Source organism: Homo sapiens, chromosome 17 (genome assembly GCF_000001405.40).
Source record: "Homo sapiens chromosome 17, GRCh38.p14 Primary Assembly".
Taxonomy (NCBI): Eukaryota; Metazoa; Chordata; class Mammalia; order Primates; family Hominidae; genus Homo; species Homo sapiens.
In genome coordinates, this window is record NC_000017.11 from 82908421 (window position 1) to 82928372 (window position 19952).

The following is a 19952-nucleotide window of genomic DNA, read 5'->3' on the forward strand; positions in this document are numbered from 1 at the left end:
GCTTCTGTGACCCAGAGGTAAAGTATGAACTATGGATCTTGGTGTTACAGGAGAATATAAAAATTGTTCACGAGGGATTACGTGGTTTACTTGTCTGTTGTCCAGATAGCTTTATATTCTTTAAGATTCAGCTCGGATTCTTATCCTATTTTTGCCATTAACTTTCATTATGATTTTGGCAAAGCCATTTTGTTTGCTTACATTTTTCACTTTTAATGTGGTGTCTGGCCTCCCCCTCTGACCGAGACAAGCATGGCTGCAGAGTGCAGACGGGGAGGTGGCCCCGGGCAGCAGCCATGAACGTGGCCTCCCCACTGACGCTGAGCCATGGCTCCCTTTTTTCAGTAAAATATAAGCAGTAATAGAGCCGATCTCCTTGAGTTTTTGTGAGAATTAAAGAATACATTTTAAAGAATTGAGGAGAATTTTTGGGACAGTGTGAGCATTCAGTAAATTTTAGTTGTAGTGGCCATCACAACGTGGCTTTTAAGCTCTCTTACAAAAAAAGAAACATCAGCATCCTGTTTGGCACAGTTACTTTTCTGCACAAGAGGCTGCCTGGGTGGGTTCTACGTCGGTCTCTGGGGCCAGAATGCAGGTGGCTCCAGCTCCCTACTCTGGCCCTCTCCTCCCTCTCTCTGTGCCTCAGTTTCCCCTTCAAGGGAGCTCTGGGCCTGTCTGGAGGTTAAACAAGGCCATCTGCGTCAGTAGGTGGGCCTCCGTCCTCAGCCCCCTAGGCGGCTCTCCTGGCTGGCATGGCATCTTCTGCCATTTTCTCTTTGTTCTTGTTTTTGACAGTTGTTAACGTATACGTATTATTTTAAAATTTAAATCATTAAATAACTTTCAGTTTTTTATTTTCAGCTCTATGATCGTCAGTTATACAGGTGAGCTTTACAAAACCAAAGTTCTTATATCTGTGTCCTAATGAAGAACTGCGCTGTCAGGAGCAGGCGGGGCGGGTGTGTTCGCTTCCCTCTCTGCCTATGTGTGTTTGGGTTGAGCGGGTGGGTGTCACCCGGCCCGCTGTGGGAGGCGCATGAGGGTCTGACCTGGTTGTGTGATTGGGTTGAGTGGGTGTCACCTGGCCCACTGTGGGAGGTGCATGAGGGTCTGACCTGGTTGTGTGTTTGGGTTGAGCGGGTGGGTGTCACCCGGCCCGCTGTGGGAGGCGCATGAGGGTCTGACCTGGTTGTGTGATTGGGTTGAGTGGGTGTCACCCGGCCCGCTGTGGGAGGCGCGTGAGGGTCTGACCTGGTTGTGTGATTGGGTTGAGCGGGTGTCACCCGGCCCGCTGTGGGAGGCGCGTGAGGTTCTGACCTGGTTAGGTTTTCAGCTCTGCAGGTGTCATCGCGTTTCCTCGTTCCCAGGACTTGCTGGTCATAGGCAGGGGTGTGGCCTCCCCAACCCCGAGATCTGGCCGGGTGCCTCCCTGAGGGTTTCCCTCTGTGCCTTTGCAGCCCAGGCAGCCTGTCTGCTCTGACAGATTGCTTTGCTTTTTCTAGAATTTGCTACCGAGGGTGTCACACAGTAGGAAGCCTTTGGGTGTGGTTTCTTCCCCGACGTGTCTTTGAGATACCTGTGTTGCTGTGTGTTCCGTGGTGTGCATGTACGGCGCCGTGTTATCCACTCACCAGCCCAGGCTCATCTGGGTTTCCAGCCTTTGGCTATTGTAGGGAAGCTGCTGTGCACATCTAGACGTACAAGTCTTGGTACGTTTCACGTTTCCTGGCTGACTACCAGGAGCAGCATCGCAGGGTGTGGGGCACATGTGTGACTTCTCAGCAGCCGAGCCAACTTCCCAGACCCTGCTGCTGCACGTCCCCATCCACAAGTGACCCCTTGGTGTGGTCGGCTCTGAACGTGGGCCCTCTGGGTGAGTAGAGGCCTCTCGCTGCTGCTGGAGTCTGCCTCTCCCCAGGGCTCCTGGTGCTGAGCCTCTTTCCCTGTGCTGACGAAGCATTCCTGGGTCTTTCGTGAAGTTTTTTGCTCATTAAAAAGTTCAGACTTTTTGCTCATTAAAAATTTTATCGTCTGTCTTATTGAGCTGTTAGAACTCTTCATATATTCCAGATGCCAGCTCTTTGTCACACACAGGATCTGCCAGTGCTTTCTCCAGCTCTGTGGTTCACTTTTCTTTTCTCTTAGTGACTTTTTTTTTTTGGAGAAGCAGTCTCACTCTGTCGCCCAGGCTGGAGTGCAGTGGCAGCATGTCGGCTCACTGCAAGCTCACCTCCCACGTTCAAGCGACTCTCCTGTCTCAGCCTCCCGGGTAGCTGGGACTACAGGTGCCCCCCATCATGCCCACCTAATTTTTGTATTTTTAGGAGAGACGGGGTTTCACCATGTTGGCCAGGCTGGTCTTGCACTCCTGACCTGAAGCGATCCGCCCGCCTCGGCCTTCCACAGTGCTGGGATTACAGGCTGAGCCACCGCGCCCAGCCTCCTAGTGGCTTTTTACTGGGACTTGTGTGGGGTAGTGAACCTCGTGCTGTTCTCCTTTACCTTCGAGGGGTGAAGCCTCCCTTTCTGCCTCCTAGTCCTTCCAGGCTGCTCCCAAGAGGTCCCTTGGCTGCTCCCACCAGTTTCTGGCCACCTCCTCAGTCAGCAGGGCGGGTGGCCCTGTTTGGGCTCCACCCCACACACTGGGCCTGGAGGGCTCCTTCAGGTGCTCCTTGGGGTACTGGAGGACCCCTGCCTTGGGCCTCAGTCCTGTACTCTTCACCTCCTGGTGTTGGAGCCAGCATTTCATATGTTGCATTCTGTCCAGTTTTCTACTTGCAGGAGGGGACATCCAACCCTGCCACTCTGTGTGGGCCAGAAACCAGGGTCTCAGGAGTGAATATTTTGCCCTCCCCAGGGCAGCGCGCCTGCCCTTGTGCACCAGGGTCCCGCTGTCAGCGCCAGGGCTGGGGCAGGTGTCCCAGATGGGCAGAGCAGCCCGGAGCTCCGCCTAGCTTCGCTCATGGTAGAACCGCAGTGCACTGCTTCTCTAGGCTGGATAGGGGGCTCTTTCTGGCATCTGAGATTAGTTTCTATAAAGTAAGAGCTGAGCGCTGCTTGGAATTAGTTCTGTGATGGGATACCAGTCAGGACTAGAATGTCCAGTAAAAATTAAAAATCAGCATCACCCCAGCTAGGATGGGAGACCTCTGGAAGATGGCTGTACCACGTTTTTTCCTTTCTTTTCATAAAAGGTTGCTCATGCTCAGTAACACATTCAACTAGTTCTCATTTTAATGCTTTTTGGAGCCTGAGGTTACATTGGCAAGCATATTTCATGGTGTTTTATACGTCAAGAGGTTCTTCTAATTCTGATGTTTTCATTCCTTTTCAGGGGTCTGGGAGGACAGCTCATGAGACAAGCAGGTAAGTCTGAAGGCCTTTGCAGCCCTCTGCAGCCCTTTGCCGCAGCCATCGTTGAGGGAGGTGTGCTCGTGGCGTGCAGGGCGGCCCATTAGCCCCCAGGGTGAAGGGCTGGGTGTGTTTCTTCTGTGGAGGCGGCATCTGTGATGTGCTTGGTTTGTCCAGTGGTTCCTACGAGGGAGAGATTGAGAGATTGAGATTGAGAGAGAGAAAGAGGAAGTTGTGAGCTGGGAGGGGTTGCACCCAGGAGCCACTGGTTCTGGAAATTTCTCAGGAAGCAGAGGCAGCTGGGGCAGTGGGGCCAGTGCTTGCCTGTGGACCCAGTGGACATTGCAGATCCCTCCGAGCACGGCCCCAGCGTGGACAGAGCAGCCCTGGTCGTGCCCTGTGGACTGAGCAGCGCAGGGACCAAGAGCCGTTTTGGGCGAGCACAGGAAGCTCAGGCGGGGGCAAGAGGAAAGCTGAGCAGAGGCGAAGCTCCTTACACACCCGAGTCCAGGCGAACCTCTGCGCCTGATTCCCAAGCCTCTGATACCCCCCGGGGGTTAGGACAGTCGGGCATTTTTTCTTTGCTGATTCTTTTTTAGCATGTGAGGAGGAGGGAAGCGTAGAACACATTTTAGACTGTTCCACAGAGTATTAAAGGAAAAGCCTGATTTCATAGACATTCCTGATGGCAGCAGCCGACCCCAAGGTCCAGGGAGCTGGATTCCCCGACACAGCTCCTGGGGCCCTGCTGTTGTGGACAGCCCATCCCACGCCACCCTCAGCCCCTCGCTGTGGGACTGTGAGTGTGAGTGTGGAGGCACAGCTGGTGAGGAAGCTTGGAAAAATCGCGGTTGTGTGCAGACTTTTGCTGAGGTCTGCGTGGTCTGAGCAGAGGAGAGCAGGCTGGGATTCGGGGAACCCACGGCCGGATGTCAGGGCTGTACCAGCCTCTTGTGCTTTCTGTCCACACCTCCCAGCCCTGACCTGATAGGGACCTGCCCGAGGCCTGCAGCCATCTATCTCCAGCCAGGCTGGCCGGGCTTCTGTACTGAGAGCAGCCAGCTTGCATTTCTGCTGGTGTTAGCTCAGTGTTCTCATGAGTCTGATGGACGTCACGGGAAAGTCAATCCTAGAAACGTGAGCCAGTTTCTGTCAGCTGACGTCAGAGGCATGGGACTGCCAGTTCTGCAGGTGGTCCCTGTTGGCTAAGACCGGTGTGTCATGTTTTGGATGTAGACTTGGTCATTGTCCCTCAGATGCCTCCAGAGCACACGGTGCAGGGGTGTCACCTTTCCGACGTACCCATGGGTGCCCGGAGTTGCCTCCTTAGTGGGATCAAGACCATCCCCCACATGTCATGGACAGCTGGTGACCTGTAAGCCGTTTCTGGATCTAGGAGTTTGGCTTGGGATGGAGTGGGGTGTCGAGTGCTCTCAGAAGGGTTCAATGTCCCCCACTTCCCACCCACGACACGGGTCGTGCCCTGGAGATGGCAGTTGGAGGCAGTCCTACGACCTTCACACGACCTTCACGTGCTCCCCGTGTGCTGCGGGGTCTGCTTTTAGGGTCGCTCTTGGTGTTTGAGCAGTAAGTCTGCACAGGAGCCACTGCCCACCATGAAAGGGGGGAGTTAAAGGCGTTCCGAATCCCTTTGGCCAACGACGGAGTTGAAGGTGTTCCGAGTCCCCGTGGCCGGCGGCGACAGAGTTGAAGGCGTTTGGAGTCCCCGTGGCTGGCGGTGATGGAGTTGAAGGCGTTCCGAATCCCCGTGGCCGGTGGTGACGGAGTTGAAGGCGTTCCGAGTCCCTGTAGCTGGCGGCGATGGAGTTGAATGCGTTCCGAGTCCCCAGGACGCCATTTTGGCTGAATTTCCTTTACCCTCCTGCTCCGTGAAGCGGGGCCCATTGGGGAGGTGCTGCTCTGTAATCTGCTCTTCTTCTTGAATGTGTGGTTAGGGCAGCCACATTGATGTCCCCCAGGCTCCAGAGTGACCGCCCCTTAGGGGTCCTGCTGGGCGTTGGCCGCTGTTGGCCGCAGGGCACCGTTGGCCTGTGCATTGCTGCCACCTACCCATGATGGGCAGAATTGTCACGAGCTCAGGAGGAAACCATGGAAAAACCGCAGGTCCTGGAGCCTCCGTGTGGTTGTCGTGGGCAGCTTTCCACGCGACGTGCCCTCCCTGGGCGTGAGGCTGCATTTGCACTTAGCGGGGAGAGGGGGAATGTTGTGGGTTCTAGTTGGGCTTTTTGATGATGATATTTGGAAAGACTTGAGACAAAGTAGCCACCCTGTCCTGTCCCTTCCTCACCCACCACACCCACTGCTCCCCGCTGGCAGGCACTGCAGGCTGCACAAGTAACCGTGGAACCTAAACACTGATGTGCTTCGTCCGGGTTTTAAAAAGGCGCCCTTACCGCGGTTTCGGTGTTTGGCGTCTTCACGCCATCCGGGTTCTCGGTGCTCTGCTCTGAAGGATGGTGGAGGGCTGTGGTCTGTTGTTGGGGGTGCTGGGTGCAGGGTGGTTTCTGTCTGCCTCTCTCTACCCCCAACTCCAGCTTTCCCACCCTGCCCTCTGCTCTGGGGCACGTGTGCTGTTGGGATGCATCCCTCAGGGTTCACGGCAGGGTGTGGATTGCTGGGGGGCATCGTGGAGAAGGGCATCTTTATGGGAGGCATCCCTGCTCTGGGCCCCCTGCCGGCCTCCAGCTGTGTCTGCACCATGAGTGTGTTTGCTGGAGTGCGGTGTTTGCACTCCCTCACACCGCTGAGTGCAAACGCGGCACTCCTGCACATGTCGCCTCGCACCGTGGCGGGCGTGTCCCGTGGAAAGCTGCCCATGCTGCCCACGCCCTCCCTGGGGGCCCCTTGGCTGCCTGCACTCCCCAGCCGTGACCTCAGCTCCCGGCGCCGGCCCTCCTTGTGCAGCTCCTTCCCCTCCATGGCCTTTGCTGGCCCCAGGAGACTCTGGCCTGCAGGCTCTGAAGCCGGCTGTGTCCCTGGTGATCCTGACTGAGCCTTGGTGTCAACTCAGGTTTTTTTCTCCTCCTCGTTCATTTTTACACTTCGTAGGAAATTATTTTCCCTTTCAGCTTTCAAGTAGGAATAGTTCAGAAGGGGAAATAGTTCTGCATAGCGTCTGTGGTCTTGGCCCCGCATCTCCCAGTCCCACATTTTTATTTTTCCAAAGGCAACCCTTTCAGTTTTTTAGCTGTCTGTTTTCCTTGCTTCTGTATTTCTGAGTTCTGTATGTACGCAGCTGTTTCCTGATATCCTTAGTTTTAGATGTGTTCTTTCAAGTGAGACAAGACTCCAAGCTCTTGTCGGGGTGAGAAATCTGCGGGTTCACGGGCTACATGTGGGAGACGGGGAGGGGCTGCTGGTCACTTTCTCACCCAGGCCAGAGGATGGCGCCCTTACCCCCGAGGACGCCGGCATGTCGGTGACATGCCGCCCGCAGGAGCATCAGGTGCGCCCTGGCCGCAGGTGCCCCGGAGGTGTCGAACCGCAGATTTCTTCAGACGTTTTTTGCACATTTTGTGGGAAAAGTGGCTCAACCCTTGGGAGTCGTCTGCGTCCCCATATCAAAGAAATGTCATACAGGTTGGCCTTTGTCGTGAATATTCACGAGAGGAGATGAACATCCTGGATGTCCTCAGCGTGGCCTGAACTGAGCTGCTTCCCCCGGTGCCAGGAAGATGAGCGTCCCCTTGTCTCCGTCTTAGTCTCAGTGGCTCTTGCATTTCATGCTTTAGAATCAAAGGAAAGAAACAGGAACTCTGTTTAGTGAAGCAGCGATGAAGGAGGGGTTTGTCAGTCAGGGTGGACTGCGTTTTGCTCTTGAAACAATCCCCAAGTTTCAGTGTCTTAAAACCACAGGTGTTTTTTTATCCTGCTCACATGTGGATCACCGAGGGCAGGGGCCGGGAGGAAGGGGGTCATCTGGCTCACAGCCTTGCACCAGAGGCGTCACGAGAATCAGGAAAAGTTCTCCTCTCATGCCGAAGACGGGAGGGAAACCAGAGGGACTGGTGAGCCTTGAGTCGGCCACAGGTGTGTGGAGGATCGTGACTTAGCAAGCCGGGGACACGCTGTTAATGGACTTCCTGCTGTGGGGGTGAGGGCTCCGTGCTCCATCTCTGATGCCCTGTACACACCTGCCACCTCCCCTGTCCCCTCAGCAGAGACATGGCCGGTGCTGTCGTGCCTTTCGCTTTTACCTGTATCTTAAATCACACAGGAGTTCATTCGGATTTACCTGTACAGATACCCTGTTCTCTTTCTTGTTCCGTGGGAATTCACTGGGATTTACCCACACAGCCACCTGCTGCTTCTCCTTCTTGTTCTGTCCTGCATTTCTCACCTTCTAAGAGGACCATTTTCTCTTTGCCTGGAGAACACTCTAGTGTTTTCCATAGTGTGTGTCTGCTGGTGGCACCCTCTCGTTTGTTTATACCAAAATGGCTTTTTCCACTTTTTTTTTTTGAGACGGAGTCTCATTCACTCTTGTTGCTCAGGCTGGAGTCACAGTGGCGCGATCTCGGCTCACTGCAGCCTCCATCTCCCAGGTTCAAGTGTTTCTCCCGCCTCAGCCTCCCGAGTAGCTGGGATTACAGGCATGCGCCACCGTGGCAGGCTAATTTTTGTATTTTTAGTGGAGATGGGGTTCCACCATGTGGGCCAGGCTGGTCTTGAACTCCTGACCTCAGGTGATCCACCCACCTCGGCCTCCCAAAGGTGCTGTTTTTTTTTTTTTCCCCACTTTGATTCTTAAAGGTTATTTTTGCTAAGAATGAAACTTTAGTTTGCATTTATTCATTCGTTTGTGTTTTGGCACTTTAAAGATAATAGTCTCTTGTCTTCTGGAGAGGTTAGCTGCCAGTCTACTTATTACTGTATTGGAGACAATCTTTTAAGTTTCGCTGGCTTCTTTTGAGATTTTTATCTTTATTTGGTTTTCAGCACTTTTACCGTGATATTCCTAGAACAAGTTCCCTTTGTGTTTATCTGACTTGGGGCTCTAGGGTTCATACTTGTTCCATAATCTGTATTTTCTGTCGATGTTTTGTTCACTTTAGAAAAATTCCTAGCCATGATCTCTTTGAACATTGCTCACTGGCCTCTCCTCTCCTTTTGGGACTCTTATTACCCACGTCTTGTCTGGATCACCGCACTTAATTCTTTACGCCTCCTTACACTCCCTCCTCTGGTTTTGTCTTATTCAGTTTGGACTTTTTTTTTTCTTTTCTTTTCTTTTTTTTTTTTTTGAGTTGGAGTCTTGCTCTGTCACCAGGCTGGAGTGCGGTGGCACAATCTCAGCTCACTGCAACCTCCGCCTCCCGGGATTAAGCGATTTTCCTGCTTCAGCCTCCTGAGTAGCTGGGACTACAGGCATGCGCCACCACACCCAGCTAATTTTTGTATTTTTTGTAGAGATGGGGTTTCACCACGTTGGCCAGGCTGGTCTCGATCTCTTGACCTTGTGATCTGCTCACCTTGGCCTCCCAAAGTGCTGGGATTACAGGAACATTTTCTTTGATTTAAATTTCATTGTCACAAATTCTTTCAGGTGTGCCTTATCTGCCGTTAAACGCATCCTTGAATTTTTTTATTTTTCAGAACTTATTTTTTATAGTTTTCATTTTTTTCACATCCTGGAACATATTAAGCATGGTTTAAAATCTTTGTTTAATGTCATCATCTGGAGCCTCTGTGGCTGTTTCTGAAGGACGGTATATCATACATGAAAAGCATCTCCACCAAGCTGCAGGAACAAGACATGACAGAAATGCTTTGAGGTCTGCAATGTTCTCCTCTCCCAGAGAGACTTGATGTTGGCTCTTGACGGGAGGCGGGTGCTTGCTGTCGGGGTCACCTCCATTGGGTTTTGGGACGTAGGAGGGGTCCGTGCTGGGCTGGCCCACGTTTTACACCTATTTCTAGGTGTGGTCCTCTGGGTTCAGAGCCTGTGGTGAGGGCTCTACCGCTTCTCCCTTTGGTCATCCTGGACTCCCGTTCTCCTGCTAGCTGGAGATGCTCCTGGATGCACTGTTGGGGGTTTCTGGTTCTTGTGGCGCCCCCTGGAGTCAGCCGTGAGCCGGGGAGAGTTGGCCCCCGCCGCTCTGTCCCTCTCAGGTCTTCGTGAGCTCTCTGGTAACTGCAGGCACTTCCTGTGTGTTTTCATTTTGTCTGGCTTTTAAAAATGTCTTAGTGGAGGGTTGGTCTGCGTTATCTAGTCTGTTAGTTTTTAAAAAATATTCTTCATTTCGAAATAATTATAGACTTACAGGAAGTTATGAGATTAGTAATAGAGCCTGGCTGTGCTTCCCATGCTTCCTCCGCGGTGACTCCGGGTATGACAGTGTTGGAGCCGGGACTGCGGTGTCGAGGCCCTGCCTCTAACTGGACTGCAGGCCTGTGCGGTTTCGTGGCTTCATGTGTGTGTGGAGTGGCCATGTGTGTCTAGTTTCGTGCAGATTGATGCCCTGTGTAGATTTCTGTAACTAACTCCACACTCAAATCAGAAACCTGCATCCTTCCCACAGAGACAGCCCCTGCCCTTTGCATTCTCACCCTGCCCCCCTGCCACCAGTCTGTCCCTTCTAGAATATGCCATGATCGACTCGTATGGTCGTGGCATTTCGAGGTGGGCATTTTCTGTGAGCGTGGTGCCGAGACCCCATCCAGCTGTCCATGTGTTCACAGTTTGTGCCTTCCTAGCCCACGGTTGGGTTTTACCAGAGTGTGTTCGACCAGCACTCAGTAGAGTACACTGGGGCTATTTCTATCTGTTGCTGTTGTGAACAAGGTTGCCAGGAATATTCCTGTGCGAGATGTGGGTACAAGCCTTTTCATGTCTACCACTGAGTCCCGTGTGCCGTTTCGTGAGAGGCTGAGGCACCGCTTCATTCCACCGCTGAGCCCCGCGTGCCGTTTCGTGAGAGGCTGAGGCACCGCTGAGCCGCGCGTGCCGTTTTTAACTTGATTATAAAATACATTTAAAGTTCACATGCAGGTGCATCTCCAAGAAAATTATTTTAAAAACTAGTTAAGACTTTCATTTCCCAGTCCTCAACACACATCAGAGCAGTACTCTGTTCAGAGCTGAAAGGATTCGCGCTGGGACAAAGGCGTGTCACTTGAGTGAGTGATGGTGTCACAGGTGCCCACGTGGAAGAAGGTAAAGTCGTATCTAAAACTAAATGTGAGAGTAACTAATAACTTACGCATAAAAACTACCATCATAAAAATCCTCGAAGAAATTTTAGGAGACGTTGTAGGACAGTGTCAGTCTCTGAAGAAAACTTCTTAGTTTAGAAATTTTCAAATCTGCGCAGAAGTAAAGAGAAGTAGTTTACGGGGGGGGCCCAGAGTCTCGCCCGGCGCTTCCTTTCTCCTCCCCTCCTCTGAGTTTAAAGAAGACCCTGAATGTCAGGTCCCAGCAGCCCCTCGCTGGGTTTTTCTAACTTGTGGTAAGAACTGGTTTTCTGGGGTTTTTTGTTTCTTTTTGTTTCCCCCCTCTTGGCATGTAATCCCCAGCTAACAGATTTTATCATAATAATTCCACAAGGTAGAAACAAAAGGAGATAATTATGTTGGGCCTTATATTGAAGAATAGACCATGTGTAGGTTGGTAGGGAAAACGGAGATTGAGAATAAACGTCTGTTCTACAGTCGAAAAGGTAAAAAGTTAATTAGTGTACAAAGACTAAATTGTAAAACTGCCTGTGACGAGGTAAAGGATCCAGTATGAAATGGGGCAGAGCAGACGTGTGGGCATTTCATGCAGAAGAGGAGCAGACTCACGTGGCCGTGGACGGTGAGGGTGCCGGCCTCACCTCGGAGGCATGGAAGTACCAGGTTACTTCACATCGAGAGGACCGTTTTCCTCTTTCCAGTCGGCTGCGGTTGGCACTGAAGAATCTTGGTGCTGACAGACACAGAGCAGGGTCTCTCGTGGAACAGGAGTTGTCTGGTCTGTTCAGTTTGATGAGTGGCAGTATCTGTGACGATGGGAAGTGTGTGTGTGGTCCCTGTCCTGTGTGCAGGGACGCCAGGTGGACCGACGGCCTCCGCATCTGTAGCACGGTCAGGCCTCCTTGTTCACGGTGACAAAAAATGGAAGGAGAGTTTAGTCCCTCAGGAGAAATAGCAAATACCATGAACAAGTGTGCAGCAGGCGTCTGCGAGTGGGTTCCGTTGTTAGGTAGAGACGGTGGGAGCTAGAGCAGTGTGTGGCCGTGGGAGCTGCTGATGCTGTCCAGTCGTCTCTGTCTCGTGCGTCCTGGCCCCCTCGTGGCTGGTCAGGGCCACGTTTCTGGTCATGGAGAGTGTGAGTGACGAGCTATGTGGGGAAGTGACAGGCATGACCTGTGGTCTGGAGCATTGCAGGTGATGGCTGTCTGTCGCTTGGGTCCTGAGTGACAGGTCTAGGAGCAGAAGCCGCTATGCTTCCCGTACAGCCTGTCACAGGGACGTCTGCAGCTCCCTGACAGGCCGGCCCGGCTTCTCTGAAGTGCACGTGGGCTCACACATGGGCCTTCTGCCACGTGGCTGGGTCTGCAGCACTTTCTTCAGGCTGCTCAGCGGAGGAGGCGTCTTGGGCTTCTCATGGTGGTTCTGAAATGGTTCTGGGATGTTTCCAGCCCTGGCAGCAGGGTAGGTTGGGCGGGTGAGGGGCAGGAGCTGGCCGCACACAACTCAGAATGTGGCAAAGGCAAGCCGCTGTGGCAGGCGCTTTTAGAAAAGTAACATTGCGTCTATCCTTTTTTTTTTTTTTTCCAGTGTGTGTTTTAATAGAAAAGTTGTCACTTTCCAAAATGCCCTTTAGAGGTGACACCGTAATTGGTAAGTGCTTTTGTTTTTAATAATAGCATTTTCTTACAGAATGACTTCAGATTAAAAGGTAAAAATGAACCTGTTAGGATGGGGGCGATAAACGATTATAGCTTAAAGGTTCAAGATATTAATCGGATACGTTGCCTTGAAGTTGTTACAAGAACCTGCTTAAATAATGGGTACCCACCGCCCTCTCCCCCCAACACAGGAGGGCCCTTCCCCGCCGTCACCTCAGTACCCCCACCTCCTCGCTTCCATGCCCAGGGCCCGGCACTCTGGGTCAGTTCTTCTCCCAGGCAGACAGTCGGGAGCTGCAGCCACCCAGGCCCTCGTGGACCAGGAGCGTGCCGGCCGCCGACACCACGGACCCTGTGGGCAGAGGCGGCTCCAGTTCCTCAGCAGCCCCCCACACTGGGCTGCCAGAGCACAGTGAAGGGAGCCCCCAGGGCTGTGGTGTCCCGGGGCTGTCTCAGCAGCCTCAGAAGTTAGGACTTTTTTTTTGTTAATTGAATAGCCTTCACATTTGTTGCTTGTGCAGGATCTAATTGAGTTAAAGATTTGGGTTTATATTGGTGGGAGCCGGGGGAGACCGTTTGAAGGAAAAGATTTAGGGGTAACAAAAGAATAAAAGTTTCCCAAAATGTGATGTATAAAAATTTACAGAATGCTGGTATTTCCCTCAATAAGAGCTTACACAATTTAACAGCCATGAGAGGAAGGGGCCTTAGACTTAACACAACGTGGAGAATGTTCACTTTGGCTTTTCCACAGATTCCTCTCAAAGGTTACCATCGACTTTAAGATTAGTATTAATAGAAGCTGTTTTTGCTGTTGTTTTTGATTTCATGGTGTTTTTGATTGCCTGGGTACGCTAACTTGATTTTTTGACAGATGGTTGGCAATGGCTGATAAATGACACTTTGAGACATCTCCATCTCATCTCAAGTCACTCCCGCCAGCAGATGAAGGTACAGTGAGCATGGGCGTTCCCGGCCGGCGCTGTGGCGGTGTTAGTGTGTTAGTCACGGATGGTGTTTGTGTTGGCGACTGTGCATCATGAGGCTGTCCCTGCAGTAGCCTGATAACTGACAAATGGGGGCATAATTCTATTTGGAATCCCGGATGGTAGCGTCTACACGGTTTATAACCAGAAAATCCAATACAGCCATTGGAATCCGAATGTTTAATTTTTTATTGCTTCTGGCTGTTTTAATTATAGTTACCTTTGAAATACTTTTTCTGCATCAATAGTAACTGTGCTCTGTTGAGTTCCGTGTCCTGTAGGATCTGAGGTTTGGAAACTCCCTTTATGATGCTCCTGTGCAGATGAGAAAACAGCACCCCAGGACCTCTGCTCGCACACATTGACCTGGTCATGTTGTGTGGGTGCCAGTGTGTGTGTGTGTCCCCGGCCACCTGCCCTCCCCTCCCGTCCTGGGGGTTACAGGTGGACTTTGGACTCACAGAGCTGTAACGCTGATCTCATTGCATAGATAAGAAACCATGGGCCCGGCGCAGTGGCGGGTGGATCACTTGAGGTCAGGAGTTCGAGGCCAGCCTGGCCAACATGGTGAAACCCCATCTCTACTAAAAATACAAAAATTAGCGGGGCGAGGTGGCGCGTGCCTGTAATCCCAGCTACTCAAGAGGCTGAGGCAGGAGAATTGCTTGAACTTGGGAGGCGAAGGTTGCAGTGAACCGAGATCACGCCATTGCACTCCAGCCTGGGTGACAAGAGCAAGACCCTGCCTCAAAAACAAAAACAAAAACAAAAACAAAAAAAACCATGGTTACCAACGTTGACTAGGTTTTGATATTGAGGATGAAGAATGGAAGTACATTTAGGTGTCTTGTAATTCTCTGACTTCCTCCATGCTTAGCATTTCTTTTTCCTTAGCATCTTCAATTTTCTTATTTTTTTTTTCTTAAGGAACTTGAACATTCTGTAGGATCCAAGTACCGTTCTACTAATTGAATTTGAATGCATCATGATCAGTGCCTCAAAATTTTATTTCAAAAGTCCATGATTAATTCACACTGGCCATGATGCTGGTGCACTTTGCCCCTGGGATTGGCACAGGTGGTGACTCGTGGAATGCAGCACCCTGTAGACGACGCACCTCCTCTGCTCATGGCCCCCACCTGCCCCGCCCCCAGTGCCTCTCCAAGGCTGCTCTGTTGGCCTCGGCTCCTGGGCTTCGGGGGAGCGGTGGAAAGAACACGTGGGTTTGGTGTTTGCCACTTGCTGGCTGTGTGGTCACGAGAGGCTCCTCCGTAGGTGGCAGAGGTGGGGGTTCGAGGAGACAGTGGCACTGAGCCCCGCACGCGGCGGGACTGGTGACTCTCTGCCCGCTCCTGCTCTGTGCAGCAATTGCCGTCCCTCCCACCACGGTTCCTGGTGGCCTTGGGATGGGTTCCCGGGGGTCTCCTGCTGTCCGGCCCCAACTCCTGTTCCCAGTGCGCCCCCGGAGCCCTGTCTCTCTAAATGAGGCTGACGTGGCTTGGCCTGAAGGCCCTGCCCCGTTACTCTGGGTGCATAGTGTATGCCTTTTTCTTCATAACTATTTCTGGGAAAGAAAAATATGCTCCATTTTATTATTGTTCCATATTAGAAGACAGACATTGTGGAAGGAATAATCAGGTTATCCATTCAGTTTCTTAGTTGTAGTGGTAGTAAAGTGATGCGTGTATCTGACAGATGATGGTGAGCAGGCGTGCTGGAAAGGAGTAGCATGACTTAGGGGTTCTTTTGGTTTGGTTCGAAAGTCATTGCTGTGCCGAGATCTCAGGGTGACCCGCTGTGTCCCTGGTCAGGTCCTTCTCTGACCTCAAGGGTGACCTGCTGTGTCCTTGGCCGGGTGCTTCTCCAACCTCAGGGCGACCCGCTGGGTCCCTGGTCAGGCAGGGGCTGCTCTGACCTCAGGGTGACCACGGTGTCCCTGGTCAGGTGCTTCTCCGACTTCAGAGTGACCTGCTCTGTCCCTGGCCGGGGGCTTCTCCGAGCAGAGCTGCTGTGCGCTCACCGTGCTGCCTTTGTTTTAGGATGCAGCAGTCTCGGCCCTGGCTGCTCTATGCAGTGAATATTACATGAAGGAGCCGGGGGAGGCAGATCCCGCAATTCAGGGTGAGTGGGGAGCCCTTTTCTTGAAGACTCCAGGGGCTTCCAGCAGGAAGCTGCTGGGGAGTGTCTGGGCACGGAGGAGGCCTCGGTTGTGCAGTGGAGCAGAGCCACCACGATCATGGCTGGAGTGGGACTGTTCGGGTCTCAGGTTCCCAGCCGAGGAGCTGTGGGCAGGTCCTGCAGCTGCCCAGGATGTTGCATCAGCTCTGAACAGGTGGCTCAGCAGGGACGCGTCTCTGTTGACGGCACCCTCTTGCTCCATCACCCAGGCTGGAGTGGTGTGGCGTGATTCGGCTCACTGCAACCTCTGCCTCCTGAGTTCAAGCAATTCTTGTGCCTCAGCCTCCTGAGTAGGTGGGACTACAGGTGCCTGCCACCATACCCGGCTAATTTTTGTATTTTTAGTAGAGACGGGGTTTTACTGCATTGGCCAGGCTGGAATCGAACTCCTGACCTCAGGTGATCCACCTGCCTCAGCCTCCCAAAGTTCTGGGATTACAGGTGTGAGCCACTGCACTCGGTCAGTGTTTTTAGAATTTTTGTATGCACCGTGACATTTTTCTGCTGTGTGTTTCACTCGTTAATACATTTTGCTGTTTTTTCCTTCTTTATGAAAGTAGCATTAGGCTGGCTTTACGCCGTGTCCCGTGCGTAGCTGCTGTGCCGCCTCACTGTACATCCTGCACCCCCGTGCTGAAGTTCAGGCTTGCTTCTCGCACATCATGTTCGAGGGATCTGCTTCATGAATCGTACTTTTATTTTTAAAGTGTCACATGCACATATGTTGGCCCACAGTGTTCCTTTATGTCATATGATAGAACATGCATTATTAATCACGTCAAAAGTGTGTGAATCACCACTTAAAATTATTATAAGTATATAAAAATCATGCATTAGCTTGGCATGGTGGCACACACCTGTAATCCCAGCTACTTGGGAGGCTGAGTGTGGGGTTGAGGCTGCAGCGAGCTAAGCTTGCACCACGGCACTCCAGCCTGGGTGACAGAATGAGACTCTCTCAAAAAAAAAATTCTCTTTCTGATTCCTATTTTGAGGTAGGCCACTTTGGAAACGTGTCTGCTTTGGGAACCTCAGGCGGCTCCTCCTTTGTTCACTGTGGCTTTGCTCCTGTTTGGGGCACACGTCGGGTGTGGCTGTACACGATGGGCAGCAGAGGGCCTCTCTTCACACTCGTTGCTTCCTTTCAGAGGAGCTGATCACGCAGTACCTGGCTGAGCTTCGGAACCCCGAGGAGATGACTCGCTGTGGCTTCTCGTTGGCCTTGGGCGCCCTTCCAGGCTTCCTTCTGAAAGGCCGGCTCCAGCAGGTGAGGCTGGCCACGCGCAGTGGACGGGGCCTAGGGCGAGGGTGTGGGAGCCTCGTGTGTTGGGGCATGAGGTAGGCCCAGCCGTTAATAAACCCATCAGTGCTTGTAGCTGGGAGGGGGTTCCTGGAAACCGGCACCTGTGGCCAGGAGGAAGGGGGCAGAGGGCACCCAAGGTCTGTGGCCCCTTAGGGCCCTGGCGAACCCTTTGCTGTCAGAGGACAGACTTGAAAAAGCTGAATTCTGGGAGGGAGGAGAAGGTGTTGTTTGTAGAAGCAGCTGCCGAGAGTGAGGAGAACACAGTTGCCTTTGTGCGTTGTGGAGCCGGGTCCTGTTTTGGTTGCGGCCGTGCATCCTGCATCCAGGTCGGGGCAGAGGTGGTTCCACGTCCTCCCAGAGGTCAGCCCCACGCTGGCCTCAGTGACCTGCTCTCTCACGCTTTCCTGTGGTGCTGGTCCCACTGACCAACCTGCCGGGAACTCCTGCTTGTCTCCCCTCCGGCCACCTGGCGTCTGAAGCTGGAATAGGCCCTGGCCACTGGGTTCCCCACGCCCTTCCCTCCCCATGGGATCCAGCCTTGGCACTTCAGGATCTGCAGCTCCAGACGGACTCCTGCCTGTGTGGCGGGTGGGCCTCGCAGCCGCCATGCCATCTAAAACTCGCATGTGGGGGTTTATCCAGTTGAAACACAGATAAATGTGAAACAGGATCACTTGGAGATATGACAGATGAGGTTGTCGGGACCCAGCAGCTTCCTTTGTCAATACCCCAGGTCTCAGCGTAGGACAAAAGGGGGGGACCTCAGGTAGGGTGTGGCCAGACCCCCAGTGACACCCTGGGGTGGGGGCTGGCCGTGGAGAGGCTGGAGGTGACCTCTCCCCGGGTGTCCTTCCTGGGTTGTACTGGGGGCCGTGGAGAGGCTGGAGGTGACCTCTCCCCGGGTGTCCTTCCTGGGTTGTACTGGGGGCCGTGGAGAGGCTGGAGGTGACCTCTCCCCGGGTGTCCTTCCTGGGTTGTACTGGGGGCCGTGGAGAGGCTGGAGGTGACCTCTCCCCGGGTGTCCTTCCTGGGTTGTACCGGGGGCCGTGGAGAGGCTGGAGGTGACTCCTCCCCGGGTGTCCTTCCTGGGTTGTACTGGGGGCCGTGGAGAGGCTGGAGGTGACCTCTCCCCGGGTGTCCTTCCTGGGTTGTACCAGGGGCCATGGATGGCCGTGAGGAAGGTGGTGCCAGGAGCTGCCTATCTCATGGTGTGGGGTCTGTGGCTCCGGGCCAACATTGCCACCTCCCTAAAGAGTGCACTTTGTTATAGCTTATGGTTCTTCTGTGATTCTTTATTGCTTTCCAGGTTCTCACAGGTTTAAGAGCAGTTACCCACACTTCCCCCGAGGACGTAAGTTTTGCTGAGTCCAGGAGAGACGGCTTGAAGGCCATTGCGAGGTGAGTCCCAACAGTTCCTCCCTAAAGTCGTAAGTCTCTGAAAGGCCAGCAGATGAACGCTAAGGGGGATGTTTTTGCTCAGAGGCAGGACTTATGATTCTTCACTTCCTAGGTTTCCTCTCTTCCAGAGGATCGTCAGTCCCAGCTGCTGGAGGCTCTTTCATTCTCTTGCTGTCATAGTCGTAGTGAATGTTAAACTTCTTTAGGGACACTGGGCCCCTTGGAGAATTGGAGAATGTGTCCTGGCCCAAGGTTGGCAAAGAGGAGCTGACCCTGCCAGCCAGTGTTTGGAATGATCTCTGCACTCGTTGACAGACACGCACCTGGGGCCACGCCATATGCCCTCTCCTCCCTGCAGGCACACAAGAGGAGCAGTCCCGCGGGGGCCACGCACGCCCCCTTCTCTCCTATGCCAGCATCCGTTCCCTCTAGTCAGGGTGGGAAGTGGGAGGGACCAGCCGCAGGGGGCGTCCCCATCCACCTTTCAACCGGAGAGACGGCAGAGCGTGACCTCGGGGAAGCACGTCCCACGTTCCATACATGTGGAAGGAGCTCTGTGTTTCTGATCTACCCGAGGGTCCTGGACTGTTCTGAGCGTGTCTTCTCAGGATCAGGAACACACATCAGCCCTCTGCGATGTGGAAGATGAGGCTCACCGATGTTTGTTTGTTAGCTCACACATTTTAAATTTCAGGATTTGCCAGACTGTTGGTGTGAAAGCAGGAGCCCCAGACGAAGCTGTGTGCGGAGAGAATGTTTCCCAGATTTACTGTGCGCTGCTGGGCTGCATGGACGACTACACCACGGACAGCAGAGGGGACGTGGGCACCTGGTACGTACGTAGCAGTGGGTGAGCGCTTCTTCTGAGAAGCCCATCTATTCCGTGGAAACTCGGAGGCCCCGGGCTTTTCTGCAGGGAGAAATCTTTGTAGATTTGTGCCGTGTTTTGCGTTTTAAAGGCTCTGGGGAAGATGACCTGTTCTCTGCTCCCGGGTGAGCCTGCGTGGCAGGGCTTTGCAGGTGCTTGTCCAGCCCGTCCTCAGGTGTTGGGCCTGTGTCGTCCTCGTTGACAGGGTGTGAGGGAGGACGCGTCTTCAATGAAAGGCTGCCGGCTGCTTACATTGGGTTTTGCCAACATTTCTTGCTGTAGTGGGATTGATAACCCCTGAAACGCCTGTGTGTGTAGGATGCCTCGGGGCCCCGGTGTGTGTGGCTGTGGGTGGCTCCCTGCACACGTCCCTGTAGCGCACAGGGAACCTCTGCAGGCCCCGTGACTCCCTGGCAGCGTGCCTGGGCTCTGTGTGGGGTTAGTCACGGGTGTCGAATTCACACAGGCTGCCGGCGTGGTGGGCAGAACCAGGGTTGGAACCCCCCTCTCAAGCTGGGTGTCTCTGCCTCTCCTTGTCCCATCAGGGTCCGCAAGGCCGCCATGACCAGTCTGATGGATCTGACACTTCTGCTGGCTCGGAGCCAGCCTGAGCTGATCGAGGCCCATACGTGAGTGTCACGTCGCAGCTCTTCTGCATCCTAGAGGGCAGCCCCGAGCTTGGGGAGGCTGGCGGGGCGGGCGGTCCTGGTGCTCAGTGGCATTTGCACTGCTGGGCACACACCCTCCTCCCAGAGAGCCTCTCTGGTCCCTGACCCCAGGTTTGTGCAGGCCCCTCCTCCTGCCCCCATAGCCATGGCGTGAGCTGGGGCCCATCCTCCTCTGCCCAGTGCCCCCAGGACGAGGCTCTGCTCCCCAGCCTGGGCCTCCAACGGTGCTCTGGCCAGTTTGATGACAGCCAGCTTCCCGGGGTAGGGCCGGGCAGGAGGTGGGGACTTCTCAGCTTAGGACCCTGAACCTGGGGGTCTGCTCCTGCCAGGACCAGCTGAGCCATC

The 19952-nt window shown here is 53.5% G+C and overlaps 1 protein-coding gene across 36 annotated transcripts in view, besides 1 other annotated feature; it reads left to right on the top strand.

The window, feature by feature from the left end:
- TBCD (tubulin folding cofactor D) overlaps positions 1-19952 on the top strand; it is a 193850-nt gene that overhangs the window by 156356 nt on the left and 17542 nt on the right. For 29 of the 36 annotated variants that reach the window (NM_005993.5, NM_001411102.1, NM_001411101.1 and 26 more), the window contains 9 exons: positions 865-887; positions 3338-3369; positions 12136-12198; positions 13081-13157; positions 15232-15313; positions 16519-16637; positions 17980-18071; positions 18766-18903; positions 19485-19568. In NM_005993.5, the coding sequence (NP_005984.3) occupies positions 865-887; positions 3338-3369; positions 12136-12198; positions 13081-13157; positions 15232-15313; positions 16519-16637; positions 17980-18071; positions 18766-18903; positions 19485-19568 (710 nt within the window). Of the gene's footprint in view, positions 1-864; positions 888-3337; positions 3370-4919; positions 11033-12135; positions 12199-13080; positions 13158-15231; positions 15314-16518; positions 16638-17979; positions 18072-18765; positions 18904-19484; positions 19569-19952 lie in introns of those variants that run through there. The other 7 variants (NM_001437989.1, XM_047436619.1, XM_047436628.1 and 4 more) reach the window with 3 other exon arrangements.
- Positions 11438-12637: an enhancer, noted in NCBI's record as "CDK7 strongly-dependent group 2 enhancer chr17:80877734-80878933 (GRCh37/hg19 assembly coordinates)". NCBI's record gives its function as "activates an origin of replication core promoter dependent on BRD2, BRD4, P300/CBP, MED14 and CDK7 cofactors, with strong dependence on CDK7, by STARR-seq in HCT116 cells {active_cell/tissue: HCT116}" and the evidence as "EXISTENCE:reporter gene assay evidence [ECO:0000049][PMID:35650434]".